We start from the raw sequence: 19,394 nt of genomic DNA on the forward strand, positions 1-19,394 counted from the left end.
CAGCATAAAAGTTCAGAAAATTTGCAGCCTGACAATGCAATAGAAAAGAAAATCCCATTTTCTAAGGATAAATTCAAGCTAGCTGCAGATATTTGCATAAGTAATGAGGAGCCAAATGTTAATCCCCAAGATAATGGGGAAAATGTCTCCAGGGCATGTCAGAGACCTTTGCAGCAGCCTCTCTCATCACAGAGCCAGAAGTCTCGGAGGAAAAAATGGTTTCGTGGGCAGGGCCCAGGGTCCCCGTGCTGTGTGCAGTCTAAGGACTTGGTGCCCTGCGTCCCAGCCACTCCAGCGGTGGCTGAAAGGGGCCAAGGTACAGCTCCGTCTGTGAATATAGAGGGTGCAAGCCCCAAGCCTTGGCAGCTTCCACATGATGTTGAGCCTGCAGGTGCACAGAAGTAAAGAATCGGGGTTTGGGAACCTCCACTAGATTTCAGAAGATGTATGGCAATGCCTGGATGTCCAGGCAGAAGTTTCCTGCAGGGATGGGGCTCTCATGGAGAACCGGGGCTAGGGCACTACAGAAGGGAAATGTGGGGTTGGAGCCCCCACACAGAGTCCCTACTACAGCACTGCCTAGTGGAGCTATGAGAAGAGGGCCACCATCCTCCAGACCCCAGAATGGTAGATCCACCCATGGCTTACACTGTGCACCTGGGAAAGCCGCAGACACTCAATGCCAGCCTGTGAAAGCAGCCAGGAGGGAGGCTGTACTCTGCAAAGCCACAGGGGCGGAGCTGCCCAAGGCCATGGGAACCCACCTCTTGCATCAGTATGACCTGGATGTGAGACCTGGAGTCAAAGGAGATCATTTTGGAGCTTTAAAATTTGACTGCCCTGCTGGATTTTGGATTTGCATGAGCCCAGTAACCCCTTTGTTTTGGCCAATTTCTCCCATTTGGAATGGCTATATACCTACATCCCCATTGTATGTAGGAAGTAACTAGCTTGCTTTTGATTTTACCAGCTCATAGGCAGAAGGGACTTGCCTTGTCTCAGATGAGACTTTGGACTGTGGATTTTTGGGTTAATGCTGAAATGATTTCAGACTTTGGGGGACTGTTGGGAAGGCATGATTGGTTTTGAAATGTGAGGACATGAGATTTGGAGGGGCTGGAGTGGAATGATATGGTTTGGCTCTGTGTCCTCACCCAAATCTCATCTTGAATTGTATTCCCATAATTCCCACGTGTTGTGAGAGGGACCCAGTGGGAGATAGTTTGGATCATGGGGGTGGTTCCCCCATACTGTTCTGGTATGTGAATAAGTTTCATGAGATCTGATGGTTTTATCAGAGGTTTCCACTTTTGAATCTTCCTCATTTTCTCTTGCTGCTGCCACGTAGGAACTGCCTTTCACCTCCCACCATGATTCTGAGGCCTTCACAGCCATGTGGAACTGTAAGTCCAATTAAACCTCTTTTTTTCCCCCAGTCTTGGGTATGTCTTTATCAGCAGCATAAAAATGGACTAATACACCACCCAAATGTCCATCAACTGGTGAATGCATAAGCAAAACATGGTGCATCTACACAATGGAGTATTACTTGGCAATAAAAAGGAAGAAAGTACTGATACACGCTACGACATGTATGAACCTCTAAAACATGCTAACTAAAAGAATCTCAATGCAAAAGAATCCAGTCACATATCTTATGATTCTATTTATATTAAATAGAAAAGGCAAATCTACAAACAGAAAATAGATTACTGGGGATAGGGGTGGGAATGAGGAATGACTGCTGATGGGCACCAAGTCCCTTTTCTGGTGTTGGAAATATTCTAAAATTAGATTATAATGATGGTGGTACAACTCTTATATCTAGTAAAAATGAATTGTAGTGTACATTTACATGTGAACTTCAGGATATATAAATTATAAAGCTCTTAAAAATATACATACCTAAAAAAACCCTCAACTATATTAAGTCCTTCTGCCTTGGTTTTAAAAGTTAAAACCATACCAACATTATTATTGGAATGTGTAAATGGTGAAAGTTTAAAAACAACTTCTTACCATGCTTTGAAGAATTTTCAATGCTTCCTCTTTACCTCTGAGTTGTCTTTGAGATGCCTCAAGTTCAGTTTTTAACATTTCTACCTCCTGAGGACAGAAAGAAAATTAGTCTTCCTATCTGCAAGATATGCAACCCTAAAATTATCAGTTTGGCTAGTCTACATTTACCCTTGGCTCAAACCACTTACAAATGTGGCTGAAAATTCTTCTAGACTTAGTGAGTGAACCAGACATACTAAAATTGAAAGCCTCGGCCGGGCAAGGTGGTGTGACCTGTAATCCCTGCATTTTGGGAGGCCAAGGTGGGTGGATCACCTGAGGTCAGGAGTTCACGACCAGCCTGGCTAACATGGTGAAACCCCGTCTCTACTAAACATACAAAAAAATTGCTGGGCGTGGTGGTGCATGCCTGTAATCCTAGCTACTCTGGAGGCTGAGACAGGAGAATCGCTTGAACCCGGGAGGCGGAGGTTGCAGTGAGCCGAGGCTGAGCCACTGCACTCCAGTCTGGGTGACAGCAAGACTCTGTCTCAATTAAAAAAATAAAAAATAGCTGGGCATGGTGGCTCACACCTGTAATCCCAGCTACTCCGGAGGCTGAGGCATGAGAATTGCTTGAACCAGGAAGGTCTCTGAGACAGAGTCTCACTCTGTCACCCAGGCTGGAGTGCAGTGGCGTGGTCTCAGCTCACTGCAACCTCTGCCTCACAGGCTCAAGCAATTCTCCTGCCTCAGCCTCCCGAGTAGCTGGGATTGCAGGCATGTGCCACTACTGCCCAGCTAATTTTTGTATTTTTAGTAGAGACGGAGTTTCACTATATTGGCCAGGCTGGTCTCGAACTCCTGACCTCAAATGATCCACCTGCCTTGGCCTCCCAAAGTGCTGGGATTACAGGCATGAGCCACTGCCCCCAGCCTCAGTTGGCTTTCATGTTGTTTACATACTGAGGTTGTAGTTCCTTATGTAGGGACTCAAGGTGAGGAGGCAGCTGCAGGCCCCAATCCAATGACTAGTGTCCTTATAAATTGAGGGAAATTTGGACCCAGACTCATAGGGAGAAGGCCATGTGACAGGCAGAGGCTGGATTTCTGCAGCTACCAGCCAAGGAACACCAAGGATTGCAGCAAGCATCAGAAGCTAGGAAGAGGCAAAGGACTCTCCTCTAAAGCCTTCAGAGGGAGCACGGCCTGCTGAAACTCTGGTTTCAAACTTCAGCCTCCAGAACTAAAAGCAAACAGATTTCTGCTGTTTTAAGCCACCAGTTTGTGGTACATTGTCTCGGCAGCCAAATACAGTAGCTTTCACGGGAAGAGTCCCAAACACACAGTAAGGTGGGCTTCCTATTTCCCAAAGGACAGACACCCCTCGCAGAAACTGCTATTTCCACCAAGGCAGTGGGCTACTCAGGCCACCTGAGACTCTGGGCTTCTGACTTTAATGAGGTTAAATTAAGTCAGATTGTTTGAAGCCACACATACGGGGAAGGCCGGTGGAAGGAAGTGATAACTTACTTTCTCAAGGAGGAGATAAGAGAAGTGGGGTGGAAAGGAGAACCGGTGGGCATGTTTACATAAGTAGCTTCTTTTAAGAGATGAGGTGGATAAGAAACAGAGGAGGCCAGTTGAAAAAGATGAGCTCTCAAGTTCAGCAAGAATGTCTGGAAAGCCAAAATTTGCCTTCCACACAGATTTGGTACCATTTAAACAAAATATCTATCAATGGACTTTATTCACTTGAGAATTTTTTTTTTGTAATCGAAAGTCTCTTACTGGTCCTGCTTCCATGAGTAGCAGTGACCAGGGGAAAAGGGAGAGGAACCAGCCAGCACAGGGAGGGGTCATCTCCACAACATTCCATTTATATACAGAACTAAACAGACAAGCACAGAGTCACTATTGCAGTTACAAGTCAGCAGCAAGGGAAGAGGGGGAGGAACAGGTGGGGAGTGGGGGTGTTGTTAAAGAAAATACAGGCCCCCCCATAACTGGGGTGCCTGGGGGGAACTTGGTCTTCTTCAACCCAAGAGGAATCAGAAGATCAAAAGCAGTTTCGGAAGGCCAGAACCATCAGGGATGGAGGGAGGAGGAAAATCCAGGGGGTGGGAGGTCTGTTTGGCAACTGGGGTGAAGGGATTGCCCTTCCCCTGCTGGGATTCCCCCAGCCCCTCCTATCTGGCAGGAAGGGGGCAGCCTGCAACCCCCGAGGACAGGTGTGGGGCTGCCAGATGCTCTAGGCAGGTGGCCAGAAGGGGCTCACAAAGGCTTGCCCTCCAGGGAGATGATGGCACTGCCCCCCAGCTTCTCTGCCAGGGTGCAGTGGTCCTTGACCTCCTCATAGTAGTTTGCTTGTAATTCTTGCTTGATTCCTGTCAGCTTCTTGTTGATGGCGTCCTTGGAGCTGGCATTGATCATTTTGCTCTTAAGGGGCACAGACTCAGTGGCCCAGAAGATAAACACCAGGTCCTCCTTCTTGCTCTCTTGGTCTCATAGGTTGCGTCATAGAGGGCGTAGAGGCAATCCTTATCCGGTAGCATCTTGACAAAGGTGGCATAGGGGTTGTCGATGGTCTGGTCCACATTGCCCACCAGTATCTCCTTGCCCTCCCCTTCAGGATGATGTTCTTCTTGTCTTCACTCAGGCGGAAGAGCACCGCCTTCTTGCGCTTCTTCAACTTCTCTGGTGTTGAAGACTTACACAACTTCATGTCGTTGAACACCTTGATGACACCATCAGAGACAGCCACAACAGAGGCCATGTTTCCAGAAGCAAAAAGGAGAGGGCATGGAGAGCTGCAGAAGACGAGAGCACTGCAGCCGCTGCTGGGACCCAGCTAAACTGATAATTTTTATATTAGCCAGAGTACCTACCTCTAAAGTTTCATTAAGACATTGCCTTAATTCTTCATTTGACAATTCTGAATTCGAATCTACTTGGGAGGGAGGAGAAAAGAATCTATTAGGGGAAAAATTTTGAATATTTTAACTAATTAAACATAGGACATTTGTTTACAAATTACCAAATACAGGTATCCCCTAAATTGCAAAGAGAAGAGAATTATAATAGAACACCAGGTGCGGTGGCTCACATCTGTAATCCCAGCACTCTGGGAGGCCGAGGCGGGCAGATCACTTGAGGTCAGGAGTTCAAGGCCAGCCTGGCCAACATGGTAAAACCCTGTCTCTACTAAAAATACAAAAATTAGCTGGGCGTGGTGGTGCCTGCCTGTAGTCCCAGTTACTTGAGAGGCTGAGGCAGGAGAATCACTTGAACCCGGGACATGGAGGTTGCAGTGAGCGGAGATCGTGCCACTGTATTCCAGCCTGGGTGATAGAGTAACTCTGTTTCAAAAAAAAAAAAATTATAACAGACCAAATTATGGTAAAAATAGGAGTGTAAAACATTTCACAAATGAAAAGACATATACTGTACTTTTGAATAAAAAAATTTTTTGAATAGACTCTAAGGCTCGCTTGAGGCCAGGAGTTAGAAACAAGCCTAGGCAACACAGACCTCCGTCTCTACAAAATATAAAATAAAAAATTAGCTAGATGTGGTGATGTGCCGGAGTCCCAGTTACGTGGGAGACTGAGTTGGGAGGATCACTTAAGTCCAGGAGTTCGAGGCTGCAGCGAGCTATGACTGTACCACTATACTCCAGCTTGAGCAACAGAGCAAGACTATCTAAAAAAAACAAAAAAGGACTCTAAAATAAAACTGATGTTAATGAGTTGGTTAATTACTGCATTCAAACAAAAATAAAGAAAAACATGAATATTGGTGAGTAAAATAAATAGATTTTGGTGTTTTGGCTTAAGCTTGAATGATGTAGTGGTATAAATATGTAAGAAATAACTTTGGCCAGGCACAGTGGCTCACACCTGTAATCCCAGCACTTTCGGAGGCCAAGGCGGGTGGATCACTTGAGGTAAGGAGTTCAAGGCCAGCTTGGCCAACATGGTGAAACCCCATCTCTACTAAAAACACAAAAATTAGCTGGGCATGGTGGTGCCTGCCTGTAGTCTCAGCTACTCAAGAGGCTGAGGCAGGAGAATTGCTTGAACCCAGGAGGCGGAGGTTGCAGTGAGCTGAGATTGCACCATTAGACTCCAGCCTGGGAGACAGAGCAAGGCTCTGTCTCGAAAAAATAAAAAAAATAACCTGAAGGCTGGGCACGGTGGCTTACACCTGTAATCCCAGCACTTTGGGAGGCTGAGGCAGGCAGATCACCTGAGGTCAGGAGTTTAAGACCAGCCTGTCTACATGGTGAAACCCTGTCTCTACTAAAAATCCAGCCTAGGTAACAGAGCGAGATTCTGTCTCAAAAAAAAAAAACAAAAAAAAAAACAAAAAAAAAAAAGGCCAGGTGTGGTGGCTCACACCTGTAATCCTAGCACCTTGGGAGGCTGAGGAGGGTGGATCATCTGAGATCAGGAGTTCTAGACCAGCCTGGCCTACATGGTGAAACTCCATCTCTACTAACAAATACAAAAATTAGCCGGGCATGGTGGCGGGCGCCTGTAATCCCTGCTACTCAGGAGGCTGAGGCATGAGAATCGCTTGAACCCGGGAGTCAAAGGTTGCAGTGCACACTGTGATCGCACCATTGCACTCCAGCCTGGGCAACAAGAGCAAAACTCCGTCTCAAAAAAAAAAAAAAAAAAGAAACCAAAAAAAAACCTAAATTTAATTTCTTTCCAAAAAGAATGACTAGAAGAGTCCTGTAACTTCAATTATTTGCTCCTTAATGTGATCAACTGAGAATTTAAATTGAGCTTCCTAAGAGCTTCATTTTCCTTTCTGCCTCAACGGCAGTAAAAAAAAAAAAAAAAAAAAAAATTAAAGTGGCAAGTTATAAGCAAGAGTATAGGAAGTAAAAAAAAAATTTTATTGAGAAGAATGTTTGCTTTGAAAAAATATTTCTCAAAACAACTTTCTTTGCTATTCTGAAATTTCATTAACATGACAGTATCTAAGGCAAAACCTAAATCATGTTTGTACTGTGATTGATGATACAGGCTTCCAAGGAGGGCAGAGTGACTCTGGGTTGGCAGTGACAAGTTCTGTTCTATTAATACTTGTGGTAGGCAGAATATGATGTCCACATGCCAATTCCCAGAAGCTGTGAACACATGGCAAAAGGAACTTTGCAGATGTGATGAGATTAAGGATTTTGAGATGGGAGAGTACTCTGGATTATCCAAGTGAGTCCAGTGTACTCATAAGAGTCCTTATACATGAAAGAGGGAGACGAGAAGGTAAATGTTAGAGTGATATGATGTGAGAAAGACTCAGCCATCGTTGGCTTTGAAGATGGGGAGGGGGCCATGAGCCAAGGAATGCAGTAGCCTCTGGAGCTAGAAAAGGCAAAGGAGTAGAGTCTTCCCACTGAACCTCCAGAAGGAACGCACCCTGCCAACACCCTGGCTTTAGCCCACTGAAATTTATTTGGGACTTTTTTTCCCACAGAGAGAGGGTCTTGCTTTATTGCTCAGGCTGCAGTGCTCCTGCATCAGCTTCTCAAGTAGCTGGGACTACAGGTGCACACTACTACACCTGCTAATTTTTAAACTTTTTTTTGTGGAGTGTGGTCTTTCTATGTTGACCAGGCTGGTGTCGAACTCCTGGCCTCAAGTGATTCTCCCACCTCGGCCTCCCAAAATGCTGGGATTATAGGCATCAGCTACCAGACGTAGCCTGTTTGGGACTTCTGACCTACAGAACTGTAAAATAATAAATTTGTGTTGTTTTAAGCCATTAAATGTGTGGTATTTTGGAAATTATCTATTAGTGATAGGGCCAACTTTAATAAAAAGAAAAGTTCATAACCCAACAAAATGGGAACTCATACTATTACTATTTAAATCTTATTTATACCCCAGTGTTTCTTCATGCTGTTTGTTTGTTTGTTTGAGATGGAGTCTTGCTCTGTTGCCCAGGCTAGAGTGCAGTGGTGTGATCTTGGCTCACTGCAACCTCCGCCTCCCAGGTTCAAGTGATTCTCCTGCCTCAGCCTCCCAAGTAGCTGGGATTACAGGCACCTGCCACCATGCCCAGCTAATTTTTTTGTATTTTTAGTAGAGACGGGGTTTCACCATCTTGGCCAGGCTGGTCTCAAACTCCTGACCTCATGATCCACCCACCCCAGTCTCCCAAAGTGCTGGGATTACAGGCATGAGCCACCGCACCTGGCATCTTCATGTTTTTATAAAGGCATCTTAGCATCATGCTCAGTTTCCAACATTTTGCTTTCAAAACAGTATCCATTCTCTATACACAATAAGGAATTGGAAGAAAAATATAAAAATAATCCCATTCTGATTTCAAGAGGGATGTTGAAGGATGGGGATGAACCCTGAGCTACCACGAGCTACCACGTATTTTTGTAAATCTGAAACCATGTTTCTTAAATCACTCTCATGTTGTTCTAATTTGTGTTTGTTCAACTTTGAGGGGAAGTTTCAGAAGAGGAAGTTTTACAACATAGATTACAAAATATTTAGCCAGATAACAGCTGGTGCCATGGTACAGGCATGGGCTTATCCACAGACTCCCGATCATTTTGGAGTTGTAACATTTTATCAAAATACGATGCTAAATTTTATTATTTCCATAAGGTAAGGTATAATTTCTTTTTGGTTATGATAAATTAAGACTAACTGTTTTGACAATTTTTGAGAGTTTCATGACCTCCTAAAATAACCAGAAGCATCTCTGTTCTTCCTGGAACACTCCTTTCCCAAAGATCCACTGCCTTACTCTCCCCTTCATTCTGGTGCTCAGGCCAAGGTGGGAGGACTGCTTGAGGTCAGGAGTTTGAGACCAGCCTGGGTAACATAGTGAGACCTTGTCTCTAGAATTTTTTTTTTTTTTTTTTTTTTTTTTTGAGACTGAGTCTTGCTCTGTCGCCAGGCTGGAGCGCAGTGGTGCGATCTCGGCTCACTGCAACTTCCGCCTCCCAGGTTCACGTGATTCTCCTGCCTCAGCCTCCTGAGTAGCTGGGATTACAGGTGCACGCCACCATGCCTGGCTAATTTTTGTATTTTTAGTACAGATGGGGTTTCACCATGTTGGTCAGGCTGGTCTGAAACTCCTGACCTCATGATCCACCCGCCTCAGCCTCCCAAAGTGCTGGGATTACAGGCGTGAGCCACAGCACCTGGCCGAAAAAATTTCTTTTAAATTAGCCGGATATGGTGGAACATGCCTGTAGTCTCAGCTACTCAGGAGACTGAGGCAAGAGGATTGCTTAAGCCCAGGACTTTGAGGTTGCAGTGAGCTGTGATCATGCTACTGCACTCCACCTTAGTGACACAGTGAGACTGTCTCTTTTTAAAAAAGAAAAAGGCCAGGCACGGTGGCTCATGCCTGTAATCCCAGCATTTTGGGAGGCTGAGGTGGGCGGATCACTTGAGGTCAGGAGTTTGAAACCAACCTGGCCAACGTGGTGAAACCCCATCTCTACTAAAAATACAAAAAAAAAAAAAAATTAGCCAGGCATGGGGGCGGGCACCTGTAATCCCAGCTACTCAGGAGGCTGAGGCAGTAGAATACCTTGAACCCAGGAGGCGGAGGTTGCAGTGAGCCGAGATTGTGACACTGCACTCTAGCCTGGGCGACAAGAGTGAGACTCCACCTCATAATAAATAAATAAAAATAAAAAATAAAAAGAAAAGTAAAAAGAAAAAAAATGTCACCTCCTTACAGAAGCCTTCCTAACCCTGGCCTGAAATACTAGCACCCCATTCCCCATAATCACTCACTATCCCTTCACTTACCACTGCCCAATGTTACACATCTGTTGATTTGCAGGGTTTTGGTTTTTTTTCTTTTTTTTTTTTTGAGACAAAGTCTTGCTCTGTTGCCCAGGCTGGAGTGCAGTGGTACAATTTTGGCTCCACCTCCCGGGTTCAAGCAATTCTTGTGCCTCGGCCTCCCGAGTAGCTGGGACTACAAGCACGTGCCACCACACCCAGCTAATTTTTATACTTTTAGTAGAGATGGGGTTTTGCCATGTTGGCCAGGCTGGTCTCAAGCTCCTGACCTCAAGTGATCCATCCGCCTCAGCCTCCCAAAGTGCTGGGATTACAGGCATGAGCCACTGTACCCGGCCTGCAGGTTTATTTTCTATCTCCTCTATTAGAATGTGAAATCCATGACATTAGGGCCTTTGTCTATTTTGTTTACTGACATTATTCTCAGAAATTGGACCTGTGCCTGACACCTAATGATGCCCAGTAAATATTTGACTGCAAAAAAAAGTACTTCACAAAAAAGGCAAGGTTGGTAATCATTTATAGATATCATTAATATATTAGATGCATAACTACTGTACTGTACAATATTTAGAAATATAAACATCGACTACTTTTTTTTTTTTTTTTTGAGATGGAGTCTTGCTCTGTCGCCCAGGCTGGAGTGCAGTGGTGCCATTTTGGCTCACTGCAAGCTCCGCCTCCCGGGTTCATGCCATTCTCCTGCCTCAGCCTCCCGAGTAGCTGGGACTACAGGAACCTGCTACCACGCCCGGCTAATTTTTTGTATATTTAGTAGAGACAGGGTTTCACCATGTTGGCCAGGATGGTCTCGATCTCTTGACCTTGTGATCCACCTGCCTCAGCCTCCCAAAGTGCTGGGATTACAGGCGTGAGCCACCACGCCCGGCTATCAACTACTTTTATACTACCACCAATCCCAAGAGATGAATAAAGATAAATTTCTAAAAGCTGGGTGCAGTGGCTCATGCCGGTAATCCCAGCACTTTGGGAGGCCGAGGCAGGCAAATCATTTGAGGTCAGGAGTTTGAGACCAGTCTGGCCAAGATGGTGAAACCTCGCCTCTACTAAAAACACAAAAATTAGCCAGGTGTAGTGGTGCATGCCTGTAATCCCAGCTACTCCAGTGGCTGAGGCAGGAGAATCGCTTGAACCCGGGGGGTGGAGGTTGCAGTGAGCCGAGATCGCGTGCCACTGCACTCCAGCCTGGGTGACAGAGCAAGACTCCGTCCAGAAAAAAAAGAAAATCTAAAATCCAATATGGTTATTTATTTTAGATTTTGGAAGGGTTATAGCTTTGATACTATGCACAGGAGAAAGAAAGGAGAGGAAATTCAGCATTCTTACCAGTGCTACTTTGTCGTCTGTAATTGGAAATTCTGGACACTTGAGGGAATGTATCTTGCTGGCTCTTATGCTTGGAATACTGAAAACTCGCTTCATTTCTTTCTTCTCCCTTTCTCGGAAATGGAGGAGGGCTAAAGTTCTTTCCATCTGATCTTTTTCTAGACCTATGTGAAAATTCTATTTCATAAATCCCACCAGGTTTCCTTCCGAGGCCATACCCTAAATCACCTTCTGTCATGTCATCCTCTTCTGTTTCCCAGAGCTGCACGTCTGACTCACTTGATGATCTTGCCACCTTGCTCATGAGCCAAATGCCGTCTTTATCATAAGAAAAAATGGGCTGTCTGTAGTTAAGAAAAACAGTAGTTAGGAAAACATCAGTAGATCCAGCAACCCCACCTCTCGATATTTACCCAAAACATTTGAAATCAGTATGTCAAAGAGATGTCTACATTCCCATGTTTGCTGTAGCACTGTTCACAATAGCCAAGATATGGAATCAACCTAAGTGTCCATCAAAGATGAACAGGTGAAGAAAATATGGTGTGGGGTGTGTGTGTGTGTGTGTGTGTGCGTGTGCGTGTGTACACAATGAAATACTAGTCAGCCTTGAAAAAGAAGGAAATCCTGTCACTTGGGACATCATGGATGGAACTAGAAAACATTATGCTAAGTGTAATACGCCAGACACAGAAAGACAAATACCACGTTCTTCCTTATGTATAAAATAAAAAACAATCAAACTCAAAGGAGCAGAAAGAAAAATGGTGGTTACCAGAGGCTGGGGGATGGGAGGAATGGGGAAATGATGGTCAAAGGGCACAAAGTCCTAGTTAGACAGGAAGAATAAGGTTTTTTCCTTTGCAATACATTGCACAGCATGGTGAATATAACAAAAATGTATTGAACATTTCAAAATTGCTCATAGAATAAAATTCAAATATTCTCACCACAAAAATGATAAGTATTTGAGATGATGGATATGTTAATCAACTTGATTTAATTATTCCACATTGTATTCATAAATCATAACATCACTTTGTACCTCATAAATATAGGCAGCCATAATCTGTCAATTTTCAATTAAAAAAACAAAAAACCTAACAAACAAAATGAAGAAAACCCATCAGTAAAGTCATGTGTCACCTAATGATGGGAATATATTCTGAGAAATGTGTTGTTAGGCAATTTTGTCGTTGTGTGAACACCATAGAGCATACATACACAAACCTAGATGGTATAGCCTACTATACCCCTGGGCTACATGGTAGAGCCTATAGTTCCTAGTCTACAAACCTGTACAACATGGTATAGCACTGAATACTGTAGGAAATCGTTACACATGGGTCAATATTTGTGTATGTAAACATACCTAAACATAGAAAAGGAACAGTAAAAATACAATAGTATCTTATGGGACCACCACTGTCTATGTGGTCTGTCATTGACTGAAACATAATTTGGTGCATAACTGTATAATAAAGCTGAATTTTTCAGGGAAAAAAGTTTCTTTCTGTATTATACAGGCATGAATATCCTAGCAATGCACTCGCACATAAATGCCCTTGCAATCCAATTATAAGTATTTAACATTTCAGAACTCTTTTTTTTTTCTTTTAGACGGAGCTTCGCTCTTGTTGCCCAGGCTAGAGTGTGGTGGCGCAATCTTGACTCACCACAAACTCCGCCTCCCGGGTTCAAGCGATTATCCTGCCTCAGCCTCCCAAGTAGCTGGGATTACAACCATGCGCCACCATGCCCGGCTAATTTTCTATTTTTTTTTTAGTAGAGACGGGGTTTCTCCATGTTGGTCAAGCTGGTCTCGAACTCCTGACCTCAGGTGATCTGCCTGCCTCGGCCTCCCAAAGTGCTAGGATTACAGGCATGAGCCACCGCGCCCAGCTGGGTTTTTTTTTTCATTTGTTTGTTTGAGAGATGAGGTCTAACCATGTTGCCCAGGCTGGTCTCCAACTCGTGGGCTCAAGTGATTCTCCCAGTTCAGCCTCTGGAGTAGCTCGGATGACAGGAGTGAGGCACCACGTGGGGGTGGGGAGCAGATATACTCTACATTCAATAAATACTTGTTTAGTAACTGAATAAAGGAAGAGAGGAATAAAGAAACAAACTGAAATACAATCATCCCAAGGAATTCAAGGGGAACTGGTTCCAGGACCCCTGTGTATTTCCTTGGATCCTCAAATTCTTAGCCAGGCATGGTGGCTCACACTTGTAATACCAAGGCTTTGGGAGGCTGAGGCTAGAGGATTGCTTGAGCCCAGGAGTTTGAGACCAGCCTGGGCAACACAGTGAGAACCTGTCTCTACAAAAAAAAAATTTTTTTTTTTTGAGACAGTCTTGCTCTGTCGCCCAGGCTGGAGTGCCGTGGCGCAATCTCAGCTCACAGCAACCTCCGCCTCCTGGATTCAAGCAATTCTCCTGCTTCAGCCTCCTGAGTAGCTGGGATTACAGGCACGCGCCACCACACCCGGCTAATTTTTGTATTTTTAGCAGAGACGGGGTTTCACCATGTTGGTCAGGCTGGTCTCAAACTCCTGACCTCATGATACACCCGCCTTGGCCTCCCAAAGTGCTGGGATTACAGGTGTGAGCCACCGCACTGGCCCAAAAATTTTTTTTTAAATTAGCTGGTGGCACACGCCTACTCAGGAGGCTGAGGTGGGAGAATTGCTTGGCTCTGGGAGGTGGAGGCTGCAGTGAGCCATAACTGTGCCTCCACACTCCAGCTTAAGCTACAGAGCAACATTCTATCTCAAAAAATTTTTTGTTCGGCCTGGCGCGGTGGCTCATGCCTGTAATCCCAGCACTTTCAGAGGCCAAGGTGGGCGGATCACTTGAGGTCAGAAGTTCAAGACCAGTCTGGCCAATATGGTGAAACCCCATCTCTACTAAAAATACAAAAAAATTAGCCGGGCATTGTGGCGTGTGCCTGTAATCTCAGCTACTCAGGAGGCTGAGGCAGAAGAATTGCTTGAACCTGGGAGACAGAGGTTGCAGTAAGCCGAGATTGCGCCACTGCACTCTAGCCTGGGCGACAGAGAAAGACTCCATCTCAAAAAAAAAAAAATTTGTTAATTTGTTAATCAAAAAGGTATCATATTTGCATATTATCTAGGCACATCCTCCTGTGTACTTTATATATATTTTCAATTGTCTCTAAATTACGTATAATATCTAATACACTGCCTATACATCACTTCATTCCCGTGGATTTAACCTCGTACTCTGAGTCCTGCAAATTCGTCTTTGTTTTTGGAACACTGTGGATTTTTTTTTCCAAATATTTTCAACCCTGGTTGGTTGAATCAACCAATGTGGAACTCACGGAGCTCCTATCCCACCTCAGGCCACGCACAGCAGGTTTGGTTAGACTGTACTTGCTTTTAGGGCAGAAAAACAAAACCGGCACCCTAGCAGGACTCCACAGCAGATACAGAGGAGTTATGCCTGCCTTTCTTCCCAGCAGAAAACTTCTCCTGGCAAAAATGCCTACAGATCAACTAGTATCACTGAGCCCTCCCCATGTGGAGACCACCCTAGTCACCTACCTGGTGACAGTGAAGCAGCCGGGAGAAGCAGAAATGCTCAACCTTGTGCCTCCAGGACAGAGTGCAGTTAAGAGGGACTTTCACCACCAGGCATTTCAAAACAGCTGCTTTGCTATAGCTATTTAGAAATATTTCATCCTTCTCTCAAGGCTCATTAAAAAAAAAAGTGGGGTGTGGGGGTATAAACATGTCTAACATTTTTCTCTAAATATCCTGCTGTTTAAGTAGTTGCTTCCAAAACTTCGAAAGACATTTAATCTCAGTCTTGCATTTGTTGTGGAGATCTCTCTATTCTTCCACTATTAAACCTTATGTAGACACCAAATAAATCTGACCATGTATTAAGGAATTTCTGTCATTTTTAGGATCAAAATGCCATATATTTTCAATGTTAAAAACAAATACCCTTAAAAGATTTGAACAGATATGTCATCAAAGAAGATACATGGATGGAAAGATGCTCAGCATCATTAGTTATCAGGCAATTATAACTTAAACCCCAGTGAGATTCCACCTCACCGCACTGACAATTCCAAGTGCTGCTGAGGATGTGGAGTAACTGAAACTCTCATACATTGGTGATGTGAGTAAAACATGGTACAACCACTGTGGAAAACAATTTGATAGCTTCTTACAAACATGTGACCTGGCAACTGCATTCTTCAGGATTTACTCAAGAGAAACAGAACCCCATGTCCGTACAAAGATGTGTGCATGAATATTCATACATCACTCAATTTGTCAAAAATTGGAAACAACCCAAGTGTCCATCTGCAGTAAAACAAAGAAACTGTGGTCTGTCCATACAACAGAATATATTTGTCAGTAAAGAACAACGCATTTCTGACATATGCATTACACATGCAATGCATTTCCGATATATGCAATGAATTTCCCAGACATTACGCTAACAAAAAAGCACATACTAGGCCGGATGTGGTGGCTCCCACCTGTAATCCCAGCATTTTGGGAGGCTGAGGTGTGAGAATCACTTGAGGCCAGGAGTTCGAAACCAGCCTGGGCAACATAGCGAGATCCCCATCACTAATTAAAACAATAAATAAATAAACAACAGCACATACTGTATGAAATACTGGGAAAACTAACACACAATGATGGTAAACAAATTAATGGTTGCTTGGCATTGGAGAAATGACCACAAAGGGCATGAGGGAAGTTTTCTGGGGTAATGGAAAACTTCTATATCTTCACCACAGTGGCCACTTATCAAAACTCATTAGGCTGGGTGTGGTGGTTCATGCCTGCATCTCAGCAGTTTGGGAAGCCAAGGTGGGCGGATCACGTGAGGTCAGGAATTCAAGACCTGCCTGGCCAACATGGTGAAACCCCATCTCTACTAAAAAATACAAAAAATTAGCCAGGTGTGGTGGTGCATGCCTGTAGTCCCAGCTACTTGGGAGGCTGAGGCAGGAGAATGGCTTGAACCCGGGAGGCAGGGGTTGCAGTGAGCCGAGCTTGCACCACTGCACTACAGCCTGGGCAACAGAGTGAGATTCTGTCTCAAAAAAAAAAAAAAAAAAGATGTAATAATACCTAGCACTTGTTGCCTGCTTTCCATGTGCTAGACAGTTTTAAGTGCCTTAGATTATATTTATTCTTTACAAACACTCTGCAAGAAAATACCATTATTAAGTACGAAAATTAAACTGAAGCAGACAGAGACTGAGTAACACAGTCAACCAGAAGTGGAGATGGATTTTTTTTAAGAGACAGGGTCTCGGGCTGGGCACAGTGGCTCACGTCTGTAATCCCAGCTCTTTGGAAGGTCGAGGTGGGCGGATCACGAGGTCAAGAGTTTAGGACCAGCCTGGCCAACATGGTGAAACCTCATCTCTACTAAAAATACAAAAATTAGCCAGGTGTGGTGGCAGGTGCCTGTAATCCTAGCTATTCGGGAGGCTGAGGCAGGAGAATCACTTGAAACCAGAAGGTGGATGTTGCGGTGAGCCAAGATCGTGTCACTGCACTCCAACCTGGGTGAAAAAGCAAAACCCTCTGTCTCAAAAAAAAAAAAAAAAAAAAAAAAAAGAGAGACAGCATCTCACTCTGTTGCTCATTGCTTAGGCTGAAGTGCAGTGATGGCATCCACAGCTCACTGCAGCCTCGACCTCTTAGGCTCAAGTGATTCTCCCACCTCAGTCTCCAAAGTAGCTGGGACTACAGATGTGTACCACCTTGCCAGGCTAATTTTTAATTCATTTTGTAGAAACAGGGTCTCGGGCCAGCCAGTCTTGAACTTTTGACCTCACGGGATCCTTCCACCTCAGCCTCCCAAAGTCCTGGGATTACAGGCATGAGCTACCACCCCTGGCCCAGAGACAGATTTTTAATCCAGATATCTGATGTCAGAGCCAACACTCTTAGCCACTGTTTTGTATTATTTGGAGAATTTCAATGAAATTAACATCAGAGTATACCAAGTTTCTATTATTTATGACTTCAAATAGAACTTAAAGTAAAAGTCTAAAATATCTAGTTTGAGCAACATCTAACAGATTCTGGATCCACTTTTTCCCAGATTTTTATAAAATCATCTTGGTTCTTTTACAAGATTATTTCCTTAAAAAGGAGATTTACCTATTTTGTCAAGGTAGATAAGAAGATATTTATTGAATCAAAGAATAATCCCTTGAGAGGCTGTGTTTTACCTCTAGTGCAGTAGACTCCTGCTTGTTAAGGGCAACCTCTGGCCTGTGTTAAGAAGGGTGTGGTCAGGATTAGGCAGGCAGCAGAGAAGAAAATGGAATTGGTCAATATAAGGGGGAAAAGCTGTAAAAGGAAAGAGTAAGCAATTGTAGAGTTAGCTAAGAATATTTTTCAATGCACCACATAAATTCAGGCATCATGGGTACGCCTTCCTGCTATTCAGAGTTGAATATAATGAGGTTTTGTTGTTGTTTTGTTTGTTTTTTATCCCTGCCTACTGTTTCTTAAACTTAACTTCAGGCTGGGAATGGTGGCTCATGTCTGTAATCCCTGAACTTTGTGAGGCCAAAGAAGGAGGACTGCTTGAGCCTAGTAGTTCAGACCAGCCTGGGCAACACAGTGAGACCTCATGTCTACAAAAAAAGGAAAAAAAGAAAACTGCTGGGCATGGTGGTGCACACCTGTAGTCCCAAGCTACACGGGAGCCTGAGGTGGGAAGTCAAGGCTGCAGTGAGCTGTGATCACGCCACTGCACTCTAGTCTGGTCAACAGAGCAAGACCCTGTCTCTAAAAATAAATAAAATAAAATGTAACTTCAGGGACTGCTGACTGTATATTCTCCCACTTTTTTTTTTTTTTTTTTGAGACAGCGTCTTGCTCTGTCGCCCAGGCTGGAGTGCCCTGGCGAGATCTCGGCTCACTGCAAGCTCCGCCTCCCGGGTTCATGCCAGTCTCCTGCCTCAGCCTCCTGAGCGGTTGGGACTACAGGTGCCCGCCACCACGCCCGGCTAATTTTTTGTATTTTTAGTAGAGATGGGGTTTCACCGCGTTAGCCAGGATGGTCTCGATCTCCTGACCTCATGATCTGCCTGCCTCGGTCTCCCAAAGTGCTGGGATTACAGGCATGAGCCACCCCGCCTGGCCTATTCTCCCACTTTTTATATGCTGATAGTAAGGTAACATGAAATACCATACAAATTAAACTTCACTTTTGAAACACATTACTTCCAAGAAAGTGAAAATATTTGAAGTCACTAAACTATCCAACCAGTTTAATGTATTCAGGGTTGATGACCAGGGAAGCAGCAGGATGTGTTAACGGAGAAGGCACTGACTCGAGAGGTCTGGGTTCAAATCTCACTTCACCACTTGCCACTTTTTGATCTTGGGTAAGTCATTTAACTTCTTAGAGCCTGTTTTATTTCTTAACAGGGGTTTAAGCATAACTACTTTATTGGGACATTTTTGGGCACCACTGATATATTTGAAATCAACTATGGTAGCCAAATCAATGTTTATTGAATTTGAATACTATTTTCTTCAATTGTCAATTTAGGGGACTAGATTTTTGGTTCTTCAGAGCTCTAAAATTGTTTCTGTATCAGCATTTTCCAAAGTGTGCTCCATGGAACATGTTCTCCAGACTATTAGGTTTTGCTAGGAATAAAAGTGTCCTTTTGGTTTTATTGAGGGCTGGAGTGCAATGGCGCAATCTCAGCTCACTGCAACCTCCGCCTCCCAGGTTGTAGCAATTCTTGTGCCTCAGCCTCCCAGGTAACTGGCATTATAGGCACCTGCCACCATGCCCAGCTAATTTTTGTATTTTAGTAGAGACAAGGTTTCACCATGTTGGCCAGGTTAGTCTCAAACTCCTGACCTCAGGCCATCCGCTCACCTCTGTCTGCCAAAGTGCTGGGATTATAGGCGTGAGCCACCAAGCCTGGACTTTTTTTGTTTTAATTTTTTAAATTAAAATGAGTCTGTATTTATGCCTGTTTTATGTTCAATGCATTCAGCAATTTACTCTACCATTTAATTTCTAATTGGACAAAATTAGAAAATAATAAAATATGTTGAACAATAAAGAAATAGTTAAATCTTGGTTTAACAACTTTATAAAATACTATGTAATTAAACAAAATTAATTAAATAAGTATTAGAGTTATAGTGTATTTAACATAGTTTAAGAATAATCTCCAGCCTGGGCAACAAGAGTGAAACCCCATCTCAAAAAATAAAAATA

The 19,394-nt window shown here is 44.0% G+C and overlaps 1 protein-coding gene and 1 pseudogene across 32 annotated transcripts in view; both read right to left on the reverse strand.

The window, feature by feature from the left end:
- CCDC125 (coiled-coil domain containing 125) overlaps positions 1 to 19,394 on the reverse strand; it is a 59,763-nt gene that overhangs the window by 36,060 nt on the left and 4,309 nt on the right. For 11 of the 32 annotated variants that reach the window (XM_047416901.1, XM_047416899.1, XM_047416900.1 and 8 more), the window contains exons 2-4: positions 11,139 to 11,482; positions 4,887 to 4,945; positions 2,020 to 2,106 (exon numbers count right to left, since the gene is read on the reverse strand). In XM_047416901.1, the coding sequence (XP_047272857.1) occupies positions 2,020 to 2,106; positions 4,887 to 4,945; positions 11,139 to 11,442 (450 nt within the window). In that variant the 5' untranslated portion in view covers positions 11,443 to 11,482. Of the gene's footprint in view, positions 1 to 2,019; positions 2,107 to 4,886; positions 4,949 to 11,138; positions 11,483 to 14,704; positions 15,615 to 19,394 lie in introns of those variants that run through there. The other 21 variants (XM_011543258.3, XM_017009207.2, XM_011543259.3 and 18 more) reach the window with 7 other exon arrangements.
- On the reverse strand, positions 3,720 to 4,855 carry CFL1P5 (cofilin 1 pseudogene 5; annotated as a pseudogene).

The sequence above is a fragment of the Homo sapiens genome, chromosome 5, assembly GCF_000001405.40.
Source record: "Homo sapiens chromosome 5, GRCh38.p14 Primary Assembly".
Lineage (NCBI taxonomy): Eukaryota > Metazoa > Chordata > Mammalia > Primates > Hominidae > Homo > Homo sapiens.